Source organism: Homo sapiens, chromosome 11, assembly GCF_000001405.40.
Source record: "Homo sapiens chromosome 11, GRCh38.p14 Primary Assembly".
In the NCBI taxonomy this organism is placed as follows: Eukaryota; Metazoa; Chordata; class Mammalia; order Primates; family Hominidae; genus Homo; species Homo sapiens.
This window is the reverse complement of record NC_000011.10, coordinates 82,951,311-82,972,882: the sequence shown is the minus strand read 5'-3', so window position 1 is coordinate 82,972,882 and position 21,572 is coordinate 82,951,311. Positions and strand designations below refer to the sequence as shown.

The 21,572-nt window shown below is 41.2% G+C and overlaps 1 pseudogene, besides 3 other annotated features; it reads right to left on the bottom strand.

Moving 5' to 3' along the window:
* Positions 974-1,063: an enhancer, noted in NCBI's record as "active region_5339". NCBI's record gives its function as "activates an Ori minimal core promoter by ATAC-STARR-seq in GM12878 lymphoblastoid cells {active_cell/tissue: GM12878}" and the evidence as "EXISTENCE:reporter gene assay evidence [ECO:0000049][PMID:35858748]".
* Positions 1,124-1,203: an enhancer, noted in NCBI's record as "active region_5338". NCBI's record gives its function as "activates an Ori minimal core promoter by ATAC-STARR-seq in GM12878 lymphoblastoid cells {active_cell/tissue: GM12878}" and the evidence as "EXISTENCE:reporter gene assay evidence [ECO:0000049][PMID:35858748]".
* Positions 12,005-12,164: an enhancer, noted in NCBI's record as "active region_5337". NCBI's record gives its function as "activates an Ori minimal core promoter by ATAC-STARR-seq in GM12878 lymphoblastoid cells {active_cell/tissue: GM12878}" and the evidence as "EXISTENCE:reporter gene assay evidence [ECO:0000049][PMID:35858748]".
* RPL7AP54 (ribosomal protein L7a pseudogene 54) lies at positions 14,609-15,491 on the bottom strand (annotated as a pseudogene).

Sequence of the window (21,572 nt, the reverse complement as noted above, 5' to 3'; positions counted from 1 at the left end):
CTACTCTGCTATTTCAGGATGTGAAAATTACATGCTAATTATTTCTATTGGTGAGAAAGATCCTTTATCCTATCATATATATTGGAAGGAGTATTACACTGAGAACTAGGAACCACAAATTCTAGTCCCAGTTCTGACATTGAGAAGCCATAAATTCTAGTCCCAGTCAGTGTGACTTTAGGTTAGTCATTTCATTTTAAACTTTATTTTTCCCAACTATCAAAATGTGGACACCAGATTAGATAGCTTCAAGGTCCCTTCCAGCTAAAACACATTACGTGATATTACTAGAGATTTTCTACAAAATTAGTAATGAGATTACTCATCACTAGCAGGACATTCACTCCTTCACCCATCCATTTATTCACCACTTATTGAACATGTACCATAGGGCAGGCACAAGAGTCTGCCTTTTAGATGCCCCCATCTCCACTGCAAAAGTCATAGATTTGTACCTTTTCTTGAAATTCATTTCCACTCCAATCCTTACCTCTCACCCTCTGCCTTGGGCGTGCATTTCAGAGATGAATGTCCTGGACTAAGAGTACAGTAGGTCATGAAACATGATAGAGTTAACAGGATGACAAAGGGGTCAAACCTTTGACCTTGGGCTCTCTGGCATAGTGTTCTTTAGTTAATTGAACATAGGCAAACTGTAACCCTTTCTGCCACTATTATTTGGTATTTATAAAGTATTGGGCTTTGAAAATCATCTGCTATAATTTTGTTATTGTCCTATGTCAGCTTATCTGCAGTTGGTAGGAGGCTCTTAATTTTGCTATTTTAGCACCTTCACTAAAAGAATGTGTTTGCAGAAATTTCTTTTCTAAATTCACACGTGTCATGGTTTTTACCTGTTCCATTATTAATATTAGTTTGAACCACATGGAATTGGCATTCTTATAAGTCAAAAACAGCCAGATACTTGCAATTTTATATCATTCTCATATTGTGTCCAGAATTGGTGGGTTCTTGGTCTTACTGACTTCAAGAATGAAACCACGGAGGCTTGCGGTGAGTGCTACAGTTCTTAAAGGCGCCGTGTCCGGAGTTTGTTCCTTCTGGTGGGTTTGTGGTCTAGCTGGCTCAGGAGTGAAGCTGCAGACCTTTGAGGTGAGTGTTACAGCTCATAAAAGCAGTGTGGACCAAAAAAAGCGAGCAGCAGCAAGATTTATTGCAAAGAGCCAAAGAATAAAACCTACACAGTGTGGAAGGTAACCTCAGCAGCTTGCCACTGCTGGCTCCGGCAGCCTGCTTTTATTCTCTCATCTGGCCCCACCCACATCCTGCTGATTGGTCCATTTTACAGAGAGCCGACTGGTCTGTTTTACAGAGAGCTGATTGGTCCATTTTGACAGGGTGCTGATTGGTGCGTTTACAATCCCTGAGCTGGACACAAAAGTTCTCCAGGTCCCCACTAGATTAGCTAGATGCAGAGTGCCAATTGGTATATTCACAATCCCTTATCTAGACTTAAAGGTTCTCCAAGTCCCCACCAGATCAGCTAGACACAGAGCACTGATTGGTGCATTTACAAACCTTGAGCTAGACACAGTGCTGATGGGTGCATTTACAATCCCTTAGCTAGACATAAAGGTTCTCCAAGTCCCCACCAGATTAGCTAGATACAGAGTGCTGTTTGGTGCATCCACAAACCTGAGCTAGACACACGGTGCTGATTGGTGTGTTTACTATCCCCCAGCTAGGCATAAAGGTTCTAGACTCAGGTCCCCACTAGACTCAGGAGCCCAGCTGGCTTCACCCAGTGGATCTGCCACCGGGGCGCAGGTGGAGCTGCCTTACAGTCCCGCGCCGTGAGCCTGCCCGGACTCCTCAGCCCTTGGGCGGTCGATGGGACCGGGCGCCTTGGAGCATGGGGCGGCGCTGGTAAGGGAGGCTCAGGCCGCGCAGGAGCCCACGGTGGTGAGGGGGAGACTCAGGCATGGCGGGCTGCCGCTCCCGAGCCCTACCCCGCGGGGAGGCAGCTAAGGCCCGGCGAAAAATCGAGCGCAGCGCCGGTGGGCCAGCACTGCTGGGGGACCCGGCGCACCCTCCGCAGCTGCTGGCCCGGGTGCTAAACCCCTTACTGCACGGGCCGGCAGGGCCGGCGGGCCGCTCCCAGTGCGGGGCCCGCCAAGTCCACGCCCACCCGGAACTCTAGCTGGCACGCAAGCGCCGCGTGCAGCCCCGGTTCCCGCCTGTCCCTCTCCCTCCACACCTCCCCGCAAGCCCAGGGAGCCGGCTCCGGCCTCGGCCAGCCCAGAGAAGGGCTCCCATGGTGCAGCGGCGGGCTGAAGGGCTCCTCAAGCGCGGCCAGAATGGACGGCGAGGCCGAGGAGGCACCGAGAGCGAGCGACGCTGCGCGGGCTGCCAGCATGCTGTCACCTCTCAATATGATCTTGTAAGTCATAGCAGCAAAGACTGGCAGGCAAATGCCACTTTAAGTTTTTTCATTCTGCTTTGTTTTAACCACTAAGGGAATTTGGACAAGTTAGTTTGCCTTGCACATTGGTTTTTCCACTAGTTAAATGGGACAAATTGCAAACTTGCATATAATTTTAAAATGCTCATTCATATAAAAATCATTACAGATCACTGAAAAAAAGCATAAATACAGTTTATTCCTAAAATATCAAAATGTTTAGATCATTGTGCTTCTCACATGGGCAGTGTAATACTACAGATACACAATTCTTTGGCAAACTGGAAATCAGTATTTTGAAAAACATTGAGGATCACTATTACTAATTGACTCAGTTATTCCATGTCTGCTACCTGGCAGACTATAATTGATATATGCTATCTATATACCTCAAAACGCATCTGCAACTGAGAGATGAAACCTCGAGCTATAGTTAAACCATAATCACATGGGTGTACTTTCGGCCAGGTGCTCACATCTGAATAGTTCAAGACCTGTAGTACATTTCAGGAACTGAAATATCTTATTTCCATTACTTGCAAGAAACACATGTTAATAATATAAGACATCTTATCTGTATTTTCATGCCTGGAATTTATTCGGGCCATAGAATGGTTACATTTTCACATCTAGATCAAAATAAGCTTGGAGAAACAGTGTTTCTGACTTTGATCTTAGAGATGAACCCACAAGAATTAAAAACTGTATGAGGCCTGACATTCTACAAAGTTTACTGATGCTCATATTTATATTTAATCTTCATCGTAACCCTGTGAAGTACTTTCAGCTCCTGAAGTACAATGCATACAGATTTTGAGGCAAGGCAAAGATTAAGACACTGCTTTGAACATGGAAATATTCTGAGCAAAGGGAATGAAGAGTACAAAGGCTTTAGGCCAAAGTACCTATATTATTTTGGACAAGTTACTTAACCTGTTTTCACCTCGGTTTTCTCATTTGTTAAATGAGGATCTCAATGCTTGTCTTCATTTATTTGCCAGTTACCTATTATTATGCGCCAGGTAGTGTTCTAGTGACTGGAACTATAGCAGTGAACAAAATAAAAAAAAGGTACTTTTGTGGAATTTGCATCATAGCATGGAAGGGGTAGAAAATAAAGAAATGTATAGTACATCAAGTGGTGATAATGACTATGAAGAAAATAAGGCCAGGCATGGTGGCTCACACCTGTAATCCCAGCACTTTTGGAGGCCAAGGTGGGCAGATTGCTTGGGCCCAGGAGTTCAAGACCAGCCTGGTCAATATGGCGAAATCCCTTCTCTACAAAATACAAAAAATTAGCTGGCATGCTGGTGCATGCCTGTAGTCCCAGCTACTCAGGAGGCTGAGGTGGAAGGATCACTTGAGGAGGAGGTCAAGGCTGCAGTGAGCAGTGATTGTGCCATGGCACTCCAGCCTGAGTGAGGGTGAGAAAGAAAAAACAAACCAGGGAAAGGTCATGATGGTGGAGTGTTGCTAATTTATGTATGGTGGTCAAGGGAAGGCTTCATTGATAATGTGTCATTTGAAAATAGACCTGAAAGAAGTGAGGAAGGGAACAGTATACAAATCTTGATGAAACATGTTCTAGGCAGAGGGAACAGAATGTGCACAGACATTAAGGCAAAAGAATTCCTGGTTCTCTAGGAGCATCAGGGATTCTGGTATGGGTGAAACAAAATCAATGAATGGGGCAAGGATAGATGAGATTTGAGGGGGATACTGGCATAGATCACAGCACCTTGGAGGCCATTGCAAGGACTTTGGTTTTCACCTAGAGTAAAATGGCAGCCCTTGGAGGGTTTTGAGTAGAGGAGCAATTTGGATTTATATTTTAACATGGTCACTCTGCTGCCCTGTAGAATAGATTATAAAGGGGCAAAGGCAGAAGAAATGAAACCATCTAGGGAGACTACTGGTAAACTGCAGGTGAGAAAAGGTGACTTGTACCATAGGAGTAAGTTTGGAGATTGTGGGAAGTGCTCTTGATTCTGGCTATATCTTATTTAACTTTGTATTATATTATAGAAAATGTCAACATAGATAAAAGCAAAATAGTGTAATGATACTTTATGTACACATAATTATCAATTCATGGTCAATAATTGCAACAATTATCAACTCACGGTCAATAATTGCAATAATTATCAACTCATGGTCAATTTTATTTTATCTATATTCCCCCCATTTTCTCCATTCTGTATTATTTTGAAGCAAGGCCCATACATCATACAATTTTTTTCTTAATTTTTAAATTTCAATTTAATTTAATAACTTTTTTTTAGAGATGGGGGTCTTGCTTTATTGCCCAGGCTGGTCTTGAACTCCTGGCCTCAAGCAGTCCTCCCACCTTGGCCTCCAAAAGTGCTGGGATTACAAATATGAGCGCCTGCACCTGGCTCATCATACAACTTCATCCAGAAATATTCCAGTATGTATCATTAAAGGACAAGAGTTTTAAAAACAACCATAATATCGTTATTGTATCTGAAAAGTTTTAAATATATCTTTGATATCCTCAAGCATGGATTCTGTATTTTTTTAAAAAATATAGAACCTATAGGTCTATTTATTTATTTTTTTTAGAGACAGGATGTCTTTCTGTTGCCCAGGCTGGAGTGCAGTGGCACAATCACAGCTCACTGCAGCCCTGAACTCTTATGCTCAAGCAATTCTGCTACCTCAGTCTCCCAAAGTGCTGGAATTACAGACCTGAGCCACCGTGCCAGGTCTGGGTTTATTTTTTTTTTGTAAGATAATGCTAATAATTTGGACACTGACAGCTGTTTTACTAATCGATGGGCCATTATGAGCAGAATTATTTGGCTTTAGAAAATTGTGCAACGCAAACACAAAAACAAACACCCAACCATGTGGTGGTTGGGCACAGTGGCACATGCCTGTAATCTCAGCATTTTGGGAGGACAAGGCAGGCAGATCGCTTGAGCCCAGGAGTTCAAAACCAGTCTGCATAACATGGTGGAACTCCATTTCTAAAAAAAAAAAAAAAAAAAAAAAAAAAAAAAGCCTGGCATGGTGGTGTGTGCCTGTTGCCCCAGCTACTCAAGAGGCTGTGGTGGGAGGATCACTTGAGCCCAGGAAGTCGAGGCTGCAGTGAGCCTGTGATCGCACTACTGCACTCCATCCTGGGCAATAAGTGAGACTGTCTCAAAAACAACAACAACAACAAAAACACATGGTGAGGGCTGGGCATGGTGGCTTGAGCCTATAATCCCAGTACTTTGGGAGGCTGAGGCGGGAGGGTCACTTAAGACCAAGAGTTCAAGACCAGAAGACCAGACTGGGCTACATAGTGGGGCCCCATCTCTACAAAAAAACCCCCACAACTTTTTAATTAACCAGGCGTGGCAGCATGTGCCTGTAGTCCCAGCTACTTGGGAGGCTGAGGTAGGAGGATCACTTGAGCCCAGAAGTTTGTACCTGTAGTAAGCTATGATTGTGCTACTGTACCTCAGCCTGGGCAACAGAGCAAGATCCTATCTCAAGAACAAAATGTGGTAAAATACTGACATATGTGGCATGCTGGTTAGGATTATTTGGCTATATATAATTTTTGAAATCTGAGACAACAAAATAAGATTTTTGTCTGTTTGCTTGTTTTTTGTCATCATGTGAAAGTCTAGAGGTTGGTAGCCTGGGACTAGTATTGTGGTTTCATAATATTTTCCACGCAACATTTCCATTTTTATCTCTCTGGCCAGGACTTGGCCTGCAAGGGAGCATGGAAAATATATTCTTTCAATAGGGAATAATGCTACCCTGAGTAAAATAGGTGTTTTGTTACAGAGAAGGAAGCAGAGAATGACTATTTGAGTAGGCAGTTAACAATTTTTGCCTTAACATTTGTGGGAAGAACATGGTTTTATAGACAAAAAACTGAATTCTAATTCTACCATATACTGATTGTGACCTTGAACAAGTTATTTTGCCTCTGTGCCTCAGTTTTTTCTTTTTTTTTTTTTCTTGAGACGGAGTCCCGCTCTTTAGCCCAGGCCGGACTGCAGTGGCACAATCTCGGCTCACTGCAAGCTCCGCCTCCCAGGTTCACACCATTCTCCTGCCTCAGCCTCCCGAGTAGCTGGGACTACAGGCGCCCGCCACCGCGCCCGGCTAATTTTTTGTATTTTTAGTAGAGACGGCGTTTCACCGTGTTAGCCAAGATGGTCTCAATCTCCTGACCTTGTGATCCGCCTGCCTCGGCCTCCCAAAGTGCTGGAATTACAGGCGTGAGCCACCGCGCCTGGCCAACCTCAGTTTTTTCTTGTGTAAGATTGAGCTAATACCACTGACCATGCAGTGTTCAGAGGATTAAATGAAATGATACAGGGCATTCCCAGGTGTTTGCAGTGGAAGTGGGAAACCTGTAGGGTATGGTCCAGCTGTGCTGCACAGAGGCAAGCAGGACCAGGGAACAGTTCTGAAGTAAATTCTTAAACTTCGGCTACCAATTCAAATTGATATTTAAAATGAGAGAACTTCTGCCCAGCCACTGAGTGTCAATATTTGTACGTGCAAAATCATCTTTAGGGGTGGGCAAGAAGGCTGACTAGACACAGCTAAGTGGAACAGCTCCCACCGAGGGACTGAGATGACTGGCATGCTCCTAATAGATCTTCAGAGGGAAGGCACCAAGAGTGAACAGAGGGAAGACCCAGAAGCTGAGCTGAAGGAGGAGAAAGCTGGGAACCCTGCATGGTCTACTGTGCACTGGACCTTGTTCCTGGCCCACAATGGCTCCAGAGGAATGGGTGAGTTGAATTGACAAGGAGAAACCACAGGCCTCTGGAACCCTGGCAGGAGACCCCTCAACCACCATGGACACTTGAGTTGGCAAATGCAAAAGAATTGAAATCATAACAAACAATCTCTCAGACCACAGCACAATCAAATTAGAAACAAAGACTAAGAAATTTACTCAAAACCATCCAATTACATGGAAATTGAATACCTGCTCCTGAATGACTTTTGGGTAAATAACAAAATTAAGGCAGAAATCAGGAAGTTCTTTGAAGCTAATGAGAACAAAGATACAACATACCAGAATCCCTGGGACACTGGGACACGCAGTGTTAAAAGGGAAATTTATAGCACTAAATGCCCACATCAAAAACTTAGAAAGATCTTAAGTTAACAACCTAACATCACAACTAAAAGAATTAGAGAACCAAGAACAAAGCTAGCAGAAGAAAAGAAATAACCAAAATCAGAGCTGAATTGAAGGGGATTGAGACATAAAAAAACATTCAAAAGATCAATGAATCCAGTAGATTTTTTTTTGAAAAAAAAAAAATATATATACCACTAACTAGACTAATAAAGAATAAAAGAGAGAAGATTCAACTAAACACAATTGGAAATAACAAGGGGGATATTACCACTGACCCCACAGAAATACAATCATCAGAGAATATTATGAACACCTTTATGTACATAAACTAGAAAATCTAGAAGAAATGAGTAAACTCCTGAATACATACACCCTCCCAAGACTGAACCAGGAAGAAATTGAATTCCTGAACAGACCAATAATGAGCTCTGAAATTGATTCAGTAATAAATAGCCTACCAACAAAAAAACCCCAGGATCAGATGGATTCACAGCTGAAATCTACCAGATATACAAAGAAGAGCTAGTACCATTCCTGCTGAAACTACTCCAAAAATTGAGGAGAAGGGACTCCTCTTTAACTCATTCTACAAGGCCAGCATCATCCTGACACCAAAACCTGGCAGAGACACAACAACAAAAAGGAAAGCTTCAGGCCAACATCCTTGATGAACATCGATGCAAAAATCCTCAACAAAATACTGGTAAATTGAATCCAGCAGCACACCAAAAAGCTTATCCACAACGATCCAGTAGGCTTTATCCCTGGATGCAAGTTTAGTTTAACATACACAAATTAATAAATATGATTCATCATATAAACAGAAGACAAAAGCTGCATGATTATCTCAATAAACTAGGTATCCAAGGAACATTCCTCAAAATAATAAATGCCATCTATGAAAAACCCACAGCCAATATCATACTGAATGGGCAAAAACTGGAAGCATTCCCCTTGAAAACTGGCAGAAGACAAGGATGCCCTCTCTCACCACTCTTATTCAACACAGTATTGGAAGTCCTGGCCACGGCAATCAGGCAAGAGAAAGAAAGAAAGGGCATCCAAATAGGAAGAGAGGAAGTCAAACTATCCCTGTTTGCAGATGACATGATTCTAATCTAGAAAACCCCATAGTCTCCACCCAAAAGCTCATTAACTTCAACAAAGTCTCAGGATACAAAATGATGGTGCAAAAACCACTTACATTCTTACATACCAAAAACAGTCAAGCCGAGATCCAAATCAGGAATGCAATCCCATTCACAACTGCCACAAAAATAAAATAAAATAAATACCTAGGAATACAGCTAAACAGGGAGGTGAAAGATCTCTACAAGGAGAACTACAAAACACTGCTCAAAGAAATCAGAGATGGCACAAACAAATGGAAAAACATTCCATGTTCATGGATAGGAAGAATCAATATTGTTAAAATGGCCATACTACCCAAAGCAATTTATAGACTCAAGGCTATTCCTATTAAACTACCACTAACATTCTTCACGAACTAGGAAAAACTATTTCAAAATTCATATGGAATTTAAAAAAGCTCTGATGCCTGTAATCCCAGCTACTTGGGAGGCGGAGGCAGGAGAATCACTTGAACCCAGGAGGCAGAGGTTGCAGAGAGCTGAGATCATGCCATTGCACGCCAGCCTGGTGACAAAGCTGGAAAAAAAAAAAAAGGCCGGGTGCAGTGGCTCATGCCTGTAATCCCAGTACTTTAGGAGGCCAAGGTGGGTGGATCTCTTGAGGTCAGGAGTTTGAGACCAGCCTGGCCAACATTGTGAAACTCCATCTCTACTAAAAATACAAAATAGCCGGGCATGGTGGTGTGCACCTGTAATTCCAGCTACTTGGGAGGCTGAGGCAGGAGAATCACTTGAACCCAGGAGGCAGAGGTTGTAGTGAGCTAAGATCACGCCACTGCATTCCAGTCTGGGTGACAGAGTGAGACTGTCTCAAGAAAAAAAAAAAAAGAGAGAGAGAGAGCTTGAATAGCCAAGGCAATACTAAGCAAAAAGAACAAAGCTGGAAGCATCATGCTATTAATAACTGACTTCAAACTAAACTATAGGGCTACAGTAATCAAAACAGCATGGTGCTGGTACAAGAAACAGACACATAAACCAATGAAACAGAATAGAAAACCCAGAAGTAAGGCTGCTCACCTACAAATATCTGATCTTTGACAAAGCTAACAAAAACAAGCACTGGGGAAAGGATTCCCTATTGAATAAGTGGTGCTGGATAACTGGCCAGCTATATGCAGATGATTGAAACTGGACCCCTTCCTTATACCATGTACAAAAATTAACTCAAGATGGATTAAAGAATTAAATGTAAAACCAAAAACTATAAAAACCCTGGAAGACAATGTAAGCAATACCTTTCTGAACGTAGGAATGAGCAAAGATCTCATGGTGAAAACACCAAAAACAATTGCAACAAAAGCAAAATTGACAAATGGGATCTAATTAAACTAAAGAGCTTCTGCACAGCAAAGGAAACTATCAACAGTGCACAGACAACCTACTGAGTGGGAGAAAATTTTTGCAAACTATGTATCCGACAAAGGCCTAATATTCAGCATCTATGAGGAACTTAAGCAAATTCACAAGAAAAAGACAACCCCATGAAAAAGTGGGCAAAGGACATGACCAGACATATTCCAAAAGAAGACATACATGTGGCCAACGATCATATGAAAAAAGCTCATCACCACTGATCATTAGAGAAATGCAAATCAAAACCACAATGAGATACCATCTTACACCAGTCAGAATGGCAATTAAAAAGTCAAAAAATAACAGATGCTGGTGAGGGTGCAGAGAAAAGGAACACTTATACACTGTTGGGAGTGTAAATTAGTTCAATGATTGTGGAAAATAGTGTGGCAAGTCCTCAAATATCTGAAGACAGAAATACTATTCAACTCAGCAATCCCATTAGTGGGTATACACCCAAAGGAATATAAATCATTCTATTATGAAGACACAGGCATATGTTCATTGCAACACTATTCACAATACCAAAGACATGGAATCAACCTAAATGCCCATCAATGATAGACTGCATAAAGAAAATGTGGTATATGTATACCAAGGAATACTATGCAGCCATAAAAAAGAATGAGCTCAACTAGCTGGGCATGGTGGTATGTGCCTGTAGTTTCAGCTATTTGGGAGGCTGAGGTGGGAGGATGACTTGAATCCAGGAGACAGAGGTTGCAGTGAGCTGAGATTGCACCACTATACTCCATCCTGGGTGACAGAGCCAGACCCTGTCTTAAAATAAAAAAGAATGAGATTGTGTCATGTCCTTTGCAGGAACATGGATGGAGCTGGAGGCCATTATCCTTAACAAACTAATGCAGGAACAGAAAACCAAATATGGCATGTTCCCACTTATAAGTGGGAGCTAAGTGATAAGAACACATGGACACACAGAGGGGAACAACACACACTGTGGCCTATTGGGGGGTGGAAGGTGGGAGGAGGGAGAGGATCAGGAAAAATAACTAATGGGTACTATGCTTAATACCTGGGTGACAAAATAATCTGTACAAAAACCCCCCATGACACAAGTTTACCTATGTAAAGAACCTGCACAAGTACCCCTGAACTTAAAATAAAAGTTAAATAAATTAAAAAAACAAAAAATACAGGGTAAATGCCATAGTGTCTGGTACATAATAGGCATACAGTAAATGATGAGTAATATTACATGTATAAAATAAAACGTTAATTATCTAGCAGGCCATTGAGAGATGGTGTCTAGTTAATTAGGCTGAATGGCTACTCAGTTACAGGTTTAATATTAGAGTCACCATATCCACTTGCCTGTGTTATATAAGAAAGAAATACTCCAAGATAAAGGAAGAGTTGTAAGATATTGTCAATGGCATTTATCGACCCTAATTAACTTAATCACGTCCATTCAGCTTGTTCAAGTTTATATTTGTTCAAATGCTTTCAATCAATCTGTCTTCATCTGTTACCGGCCAAACTGAAAGCCCTGAGACAAGTAATCTCTTTAAGCCCTGCTGAAATATAGCTATTTTGCCAAACATACAATACCCTAAGCTTGGATCTTGAAAAAGGTGATAAATACTTCTCCAGCAACTGCTGGTTTTGGGGCCTCTGTTTAGACATCTTGCATAATATTTTTTTCATGATTCTTTTGGTTGGTTGATTTTGCAATTATTGAAGTCGTAATCAATAACAAGTATATACAGCACCTGGATCTGATTACAGGCACTGTTGTATCCATTAACCCAGCTCTGAGCCCTTGCAGTTACTTTCACCAAATGAAAGGCTGCTGGGCACCCCTGTGTTTTACAATGTCATGTTATTATTTCCCACTCAAGGCAGGCAAGGGGTGGACAAACAGCTTGTCTTGGCACAGCTGGTGCCTCTAGTTAGCAGAAAATGCTTCAGACTGTGAAGGAGCTGTACGGAAGGGCCAAGTGGTCATGCACTTTGGCTTGGCACATAAAGGGATCTTATTAGAGGAAAGGTGTGATTTTTTTTTTTTACAGGTGAATTTATGTTTCTCCCTTGGAGGCAACTTTCTCTAATCACATCACAAATTAGGCTGAAAAACAAGTGATAGATCAGAGAAAACCACTGCAGGATACCTAACCTATGCTTGACCTTAAGTTATTCAAGTAGTGGCAGACATTGATCAACAGGAAGGAAGGTGTTTCACCGAGAAATGTCTAGCTTGAGAGATGAGGGTTCATGCAGCATTCTCCTTTAGCCTCATGAGTGGCAGTGCAGAGTACTGGAAAAATTAGAGCTCTGGTTCTGCCACTTATTAGTGACATGGTCTTAGCCTTGAGAAAGTTACTCGACCTCTGTAAACTCAGTTTACAAAGTTTACAAAAATATTTTCCTCAATCCTCATAGGTTACTTATAAGGAATAAATGAGCAAGTATGTAAAATATCTAAGAGATGGCTCAGAGGGAGAGGCTCCACATATTAGAGTCTTTTGCTTCCCTCTGTATAATGCACATATTCCTTTTTTTCAAAAAATTGATCTTTAAACATCTTTAATATGAACTAAAACATGAATACGGAAAAAGTGTATTATGTAATGGAACTATTATAAACACCCTTGTATTTGTGTCAGGAAATAGAACTTTGCCAGCCACCCCAGAATCTCTTCTTTCCACCTCAAAGTAACCGCTATTTTCACTTTCGTAGTCATCAAGGAAGTGATGCACCCAAATGTGTATCTCAAGGCACTTAAGTTTAATCTTGCCCATTCAAAAAAAAAAAACAACTAATATACATTTTAAATAATTTTAGTATATATCTCTTTCTCTCCCTTACAGTAATCTGTGGAAGAATGTGAACTGTTTGACCTGCAGTTTCTCACAGTCTGGATTTTGCTGATTTTATATTTATGGTGGAGGTCTGCATGTTCTGTCAGTTGTATATTTTTCATATTGACAGCTGGATGCAGAGGGAGTATACTCATGTTTAATCCCTTTGGGAAGATTATAGGAAGTGGTATCTTCTTCCATCAGAAAGCAGATATCTTCTTGTCTCTCTTTGGAATGTTAGCAACCATCGACGCTCATTGAGTGCATCCATTATTTGTTGGGGGTTACAAAATGGTAATATTCCATTTCTACCATTTAATAAATGCATTAATTAAAATATTTTTATAAAGAGAGCTTCCCTTCACCTATTTGGTTATCCAATGGTACAATTCATGAGAGAAAAGCAAGATAAATTTTTAATTTTTTTCCCTTTTTACCAGTTATCAACATAATAAATTGGTTCTCTATCATTATCTGAAGGTGATTAGTGTTTTTTTAATTGTTCAAAACCGTGAAAAATATTAAATGTCAGGTTTTTGTTTTGCCTTGTTTTTTTTAAGAGATGAGGTCTTATTTTGTCACCCAGGCAGAAGTGCAGTGGCATGATCATAGCTCACTGCCATATCGAACTCTTGGGCTCAAGGGATCCTCCTGCCTCAGCCTCTCAAGTAGCTGAGATTAAAGACTTGTGCAATTGTGCCTGGCTAACATTTTCATTTTCATTTTTTGTAGAGATGGGGTCTTGCCATCTTGTCCAGGCCAGTCTTGAACTCCTGGGCTCAGTTTTTTTTTTTCTTTTTTTTTGGAGACAGGGTCTTGCTATGTGCCCAAGCCTCCAAACTCCTGAGCTCAAGTGATCCTCTTGCCTCAGCCTCCCAGGTAGCTGGGATTATGGGTGCATTCCACCACATTTGGCTTTGAAGGTGACTAGTTTTTAAAATATTATAAACTTATGAAATATACTTATGTATTTATAAAAATACTATATACACTATCTCTAATTTTTAAATCATTTTTTATATTCTTCCAGTAATATTCTATGCATACTAAATTATTTGTGTATCTTGACAGATATTTGTTTTACTATTTTGCTATTGCAAACAATGCTTTATGGAATATTTTTCTTTTATACTTTCTCATATATGAGTGTATTTGTGAGATAAATTCCTGGAAGTGGGATTGCTGCTTTTAAAAGAGCACATCAATTTAAAATTTTCATAAATAATGCCAATTTATTTTCCACATAATTAATACCAATTACATTCTCATTGTCTTAATCCATTTTGGGCTGCCGTAACAAAAAAAATCTGAGACTAGGTAATTTATATCTATGATAAATAAAATAAAATACATTTCTCATACTTCTGGAGGCTGGTAAGTCCAAGATCAAGGTGCTCACATCTGGTTTCTGGTGAGGGCCTTTTTGCTGCATCCTCACATGATGAAAGGACAAGTTGGAAAGCTAGCTAAATGCTACGTGAAGCCTCTTTTATATGTGCCTTAATTCTATTGATGAGGGAGGAACCCCATGGCCTAATCACCTCCTACAGATCCCACCTCTTAATACTATCACATTGGCAACACCTGAATTTTGGAGGAAACACATTCAAATCATAGCACCAATTGACACTGTATCAGTAGTAAGGCATTCTTTCAAAAAAATACTTTCAATTGGGTGGGGATGTAGGGCATAAGAGGTCAGAAAAGAAAGCTTGAATTCTTTTTGGCTGAAGGAGAATTTTTTATTATCTTTCTGTACAGAAAACTCAACAGTGTGCATTTAACTAAGCTTAGTGGCATGTTTTTTAGCCTTTGTCTTTTCTGGCTTGGCATTGTAAGCCACAGATTTTGGACCCAGGATGTTGCCTCCCCATTGATGGTGGATCTCATTATATCTGTCATTGTAATTGATCCTGAAGCTCCCAAAGTTTAGCTAAAGCTCCTTGTTTTTTCCATTTAACCTGTGTGAAGGTGACAATGATGCAGGTCCTCCTGTGGACTAAACTTCCCGGCCTTGCCTTCTCTTTGATAACACAGTAAGGGACCCCCATTTTACAACACAGGGCTGGCAGGAAGACAACCAGCTTGATGGGATCCATATCTTGTGCAGTCAGCACCAGCTGAGACTTCTTGTTCACCATTGAGTTGGTGACAGTATTAACCCCTGCTTGAAGGACAGGTGAACTCTTAGTGGGGATGTCTCCATTGCTGGCAGCATTCCTGTCAGCATGGGCCAACAATTCCTGCTTCTTCTCTTGCTTTGTCACTGGTCTGTACTCGTGGGCCAGCTTAAGAAGCTGAGCAGCTGTTAGGAGGTCCAAGGCCTGGGTAAACTGGTTAATCACAAGAGGCACTTCCAGTGACCTACAGAGGATAGTTCTTTGCTGCTGCAACCTAATATAATGAGGCCATTTGACAAAGTGAGTGAGATCCCTTTGGGGTGGATGTCCTGTCCAGTGCTAAAATTCTTAGGCCTTTTCTCAAACAGGGGAGATTCACCACTTTCTTGGCTTCTTGCTTCTTCATGACAGCAGGGGCCCCAGCCATCTTCTTCCCCTTGGTCTTATTTTGTTTTAGCATCTTGGGTGGCTAGAGAAGAGACAACAGAAAGCTCAAATTTTAACAGAGGGAGAAAGACAGGGGAAAGGTCATGGTGAAAGTGAGGAATTGAAATTGAGTAAAGATATTACAACTATAAAGCAGGTGGAAATTCAAAATGGTATATGAATAATGAAGGGGCAGAAGGAAGCAAACAGAAAATGCTGGTACTGGCAGGTGTGGTACTGTGGGAGGAGCACTGAACTTGAGAGCAAGTACCATGTTCACAGTCATTATCTTATTTAATTCTCATAGTAGCCTTAAGAGATATTGTTTCTTTTTTTTGCAGATAAGAAAGTAGAGGCCATGGAGATACAATATCTACTTCACGGGATTTTATGTGAGTTAAATGATGTAATGTATGTGATACCACCTAATAGCATATGAGATTCTTGAAGGCATAATTATCTTCAACCTAGTACAGTGCCAGGTACAATCTGGAACTGCAATTTGCTGAATATTTTTAATAAATGAAAGAACCTGGCACAGGGCCTACCACATAAGTATGTGCTCAACAATGAATGGTTATTGACTCTAAAGATTAGCAGAAAGTGGGGTGGCTGGCAAGATGGCCAAATAGGAACAGCTCTGGTCTGCAGCTCCCAGGGAGATCAACACAGAAGGTGGGTGATTTCTGCATTTCCAACTGAGGTACCATGTTCATCTCATTGGGACTGGTTGGACAGTGGGTGCAGCCCATGGAGGGTGAGCTGAAGCAGCGTGGGGCATTGCCTCACCCAGGAAGCAAAAGGGGTCAGGGGATTTCTCTCCCCCAGTCAAGGGAAGCCGTGAGAGACTGTACCAGGAGGAACGGTGCACTCTGGCCCAGATACTGCACTTTTCCCATGGCCTTCACAACCAGCAGACCAGAGATTCCCTCAGGTGCCTACGCCACCAGGGCCCTAGATTTCAAACACAAAACTGGACAGCTGTTTGGGCAGACACTGAACTAGCTGCAGGAGTTTCTTTTTTTCATACACCAGTGGCACCTGGAACACCAGTGAGATGGAACCATTCACTTCCCTGGAAAGGGGGCTGAAGCCAGGGATCCAAGTAGTCTGGCTTGGCAGGTCGCATGCCCATGGAGCCCAGCAAGCTAAGATCCACTGGCTTGAAATTCTCGCTGCTAGCACAGCAGTCTGAGGTCGCCCAGAGATGCTTGAGCTTGGTTGGGGGAGGGGCGCCCACCATTGCTGAGGCTTGAGTAGGTGGTTTTACCCTCACAGTGTAAACAAAGCCTCCAGGAAGTTCAAACTGGGCGGAGCCCACCACAGCTCAGCAAGGCTGCTGGGGCCAAACTGCCTCTCTAGATTCCTCCTCTCTGGGCAGGGCATCTCTGAAAAAAAGGCAGCAGACCCACTCAGGGACTTATAGATAAAACCCCCATCTCCCTGGGAAAGAGCACCTGGGGGAAAGGATGGCTGTGGGCACAGCTTCAGCAGACTTAAACGTCCCTGCCTGGCAGCTCTAAAGAGAGCAGCAGATCTCCCAGCACAGCGTTCAAGCTTTGAAAAGGGACAGACTGCCTCCTCAAGTGGGTCCTTGAGCTCTGTGTATCCTGTTTGGGAGACACCTCCCAGTAGGGGCTGACAGACACCTCATACGGGAGAGCTCTTGCTGGCATCTGGCGGGTGTCTCTCTGGGACAAAGCTTCCAGAGGAAGGAACAGGCAGCAATCTTTGTTGTTCTGCAGCCTCCACTGGTAATACCCAGACAAATAGGGTCTAGAGTGGACCTCCAGCAAACTCCAGCAGACCTGCAGCAGAGGGTCCTGACTGTTAGAAGGAGAACTAACAAACAGAAAGGAATAGTATCAACATCAGAAAAAAGGATGTCCACTCAGAGAACCCATGCAAAGGTCACCAACATCAAAGACCAAAGTTAGATAAATCAATGAAGATGGGGAAAAAACAGCATAAAAAGACTGAAAATTACAAAAATCAGAGTGCCTCTTCTCCAAAGGATCACAACTCCTTGCCAGCAAAGAGAACAAAACCATCCAGAACAAAACTGGACGGAGAATGAGTTTGAAGAATTGACAGAAGTAGGCTTCAGAAGGTGGGTAATAACAAACTCCTCCAAGCTGAAGGAGCATGTTCTAACTCAATGCAAGGAAGCTAAGAACCTTGAAAAAAGGTTAGAAAAATTGCTAACTAGAATAACCAGTTTAGAGAAGAACATAAATGATCTGATGGAGCTGAAAAACACAGCACGAGAACTTTGTGAAGCATATGAAAGTATCAATAGCTGAATCAATCAAGTGGAAGAAAGGATATCAGAGAATGAAGATCAATTCGATGAAATAAAGCAAGAAGATAAGATTAGAGAAAAAAGGGTGAAAAGAGATCAACAAAGCCTCTAGGAAATATGGGACTATGTGAAAAGACCAAATCTACGTTTGATTGTTATATCTGAAAGTAACAGGGAGAATGGAACCAAGTTGGAAAACACTCTTCAGGATATTATCCAGGAGAACTTCCCAAACCTAGCAAGGCAGGCCAACGTTCAAATTCAGGAAATACAGAGAACACCACAAAGATACTCCTCAAGAAGAGCAACCCCAAGACACATAATCATCAGATTCACCAAGGTTGAAATGAAGGAAAAAATTGTTAAGGGAAGCCAGAGAGAAAGGTTGGGTAACCCACAAAGGGAAGCCCATCAGACTAACAGTGGATCTCTCAGCAGAAACCCTACAAGCCAGAAGAGAGTGGGGGCCAATATTCAACATTCTTAAAGAAAAGAATTTCTAACCCAGAATTTCATATCCAGCCAAACTAAACTTTATAAGTGAAAGAGAAATAAAATCCTTTACAGACAAACAAATGCTGAGAGATTTTATCACCACCAGGCCTACCTTACAAGAGCTCCTGAAGGAAGCACTAAATATGAAAAGGAAAAACCAGTACCAGCCACTGCAAAAACATACCAAATTGTAAAGACCATCGACACTATGAAGAAACTGCATCAACTAATGGGCAAAATAATCATCTAGAATCAGAATGACAGGATCAAATTCACATATTACAATATTAACCTTAAATGTAAATGGGCTAAATGCCCCAATTAAAGGACACAGACTGGCAAATTGGATAAAGAGTCAAGACCCATTGGTATGCTGCATTCAGGAGACCCATCTCACATGCAAAACACACATAGACTCAAAATAAAGGGATGGAGGAAGATCTACCAAGCAAATGGAAAGCAAAAAAAAGCAGGGGTTGAAATCCTGGTCTCTTATAAAACAGACTTTAAACCAACAAAGATCAAAAGAGAGAAAGAAGGCCATTACATAATGGTATAGGGATCAATTCAACAAGAAGAGCTAACTCCTAAATATATATGCACCCAATACATGAGCACCTAGATTCATAAAGCAAGTTCTTAGAGACATACAAAGAGACTTAGACTCCCACACAAGAATAATAATGGCAGACTTTAACACTCCACTGTCAATATTAGACAGATCAATAAGACAGAAACTTAACAAAGATATCTAGGACTTGAACTCAGCTCTGGACCAAGCAGACATAATAGACATCTACAGAACTCTCCACCCCATATCAAAAGAATATCCATTCTTCTCAGCACATCACACTTATTCTAAAATTGACTACATAATTGGAAATAAAACACTCCTCAGCAAATATAAAAGAACAGAAATCACAACAAACTGTCTCTCAGACCACAGTGCAATCAAACTAGAACTCAAGATTGAGAAACTCACTCAAAATTGCACAACTACATGGAAACTGAACAACCTGCTCCTGAATGACTACTGGGTAAATAAAGAAATGAAGGCAGAAATAAAGATGTTCTTTGAAACCAATGAGAACAAATACACAACGTACCAGAATCTCTGGGATGCATTTAAAGCAGTGTGTAGAGGGAAATTTATAGAACTAAATGGCCACAAGAGAAAGCAGGAAAGATCTAAAATCAACACCCTAACATCACAATTAAAAGAACTAGAGAAGCAACAGCAAACAAATTCAAAAGCTAGCAGAAGACAAGAAATAACTAAGATCAGAGCAGAACTGAAGGAGACAGAGAAACAAAAAACCCTTCAAAAAAATCAGTGAATCCAGGCGCTGGTTTTTTGAAAAAATCAAGAAAACAGACTATTAGCAAAACTAATAAAGAAGAAAAGAGAGAAGAATCAAATAGATGCAATAAAAAATGATAAAGGGGATCTCACCACTGATCCCACAGAAATACAGCTACCATCAGGGAATACTATAAACACCTCTATGCAAATAAACTAGAAAATCTAGAAGAAACGGATACATTCCTGGACACATACATCCTCCCAAGACTAAACCAGGAAGAAGTTGAATCTCTGAATAGACCAATAACAGGTTCTGAAATTGAGGCAGTAATTAATAGCTTACCAGTCAAAAAAGGTCCAGGACCAGACGAATTCACAGCTGAATCCCACCAGAGGTACAAAGAGGAGCTGGTACTATTCCTTCTGAAACTATTCCAATCAATAGAAAAAAAGGGAATCCTCCCTAACTCATTTTATGAGGCCAGCATCATCCTGATATCAAAGCCTGGCAGAGACACAACAAAAAAAGAGAATTTTAGGCCAATATCCATGAATGAACATGGATTAGAAAATCCTGAATAAAATACTGGTGAACTGAATCCAGCAGCACATCAAAAAGCTTATCCACTACAATCAAGTTGTTTTCATCCCTGGGATGCAAGGCTGGTTCAACATATGCAAATCAATAAACATAATGCATCACATAAACAGAACCAATGACAAAACCACATGATTATCTCAACAGATGCAGAAAAGACCTTTGACAAAATTCAACAGCCCTTCATGCAAAAAACTCTCAATAAACTAGGTATTGATGGAACGTGTCTCATAATAATAAGAGCTATTTATGACAAACCCACAGCCAATATCATACTGAATGTGCAAACACTGGAAGTATTCCCTTTGAAAACCAGCACAAGACAGGGATGCCCTCTCTCACCACTCCTATTCAACATAGTGTTGGAAGTTCTGGCCAGGACAATCAGGCAGGAGAAAGAAATAAGCATATCCAATTAGGAAAAGAGGAAGTCAAATTGTCTCTGTTTGCAAATGACATGATTGTATATTTAGAAAACCCCATCGTCTCAGCCCAAAATCTTCTTAAGCTGATAAGTAACTTCAGCAAAGTCTCAGGATACAAAATCAATGTGCAAAAATCACAAGCATTCCTATACACCAATAACGCAGAGCCAAATCATGAGTGAACTCCCATCACAATTGCTTCAAAGAGAATAAAATACCTAGGAATCCAACTGACAAGGCATGTGAAGGACCTCTTCAAGGAGAACTACAGACCACTGCTCAGTGAAATAAAAGAGGACACAAACAACTGGAAGAACATTCCATGCTCATGGTTAGGAAGAATCAATATCGTAAAAATGGCCATGCTGCCCAAGGTAATTTATAGATTCAATGCTATTCCCTTTAAATACCACTGACTTTCTTCACAGAATTGGAAAAAACTACTTTAAATTTCATATGGAACCAAAAAAGAGCCTGCATAGCCAAGACAATCCTAAGCAAGAAGAACAAAGCTGGAGGCATCACACTACTCGATTTCAAACTAGACTACAAGGCTACAGTAACCAAAGCAGCATGGTACTGGTACCAAAAACAGAGATATAGACCAATGGAACAGAACAGAGGCCTCAGAAATAACACCACACCTCTACAACCATCTGCTCTTTGACAAAGCTGACAAAAACAAGAAATGGGGAAAGGATTCCCTATTTAATAAATGGTGCTGGGAAAACTGGCTAGCCATATGTAGAAAGCTGAAACTGGATCCCTTCCTTACACCTTATACAAAAATTAACTCAAGATGGGTTAAAGACTTAAACGTTAGACCTAAAACCATAAAAAGCCTAGAAGAAAACCTAGGCAATACCATTCAGGACATAGGCATGGGGAAACACTTCATGACTAAAACACCAAAAGCAATGGCAACAAAAGCCAAAATTGACAAATGGGATCTAATTAAACTAAAGAGCTTCTGCACAGCAAAAGAAATTATCATCAGAGTGAACAGGCAACCTACAGAATGGG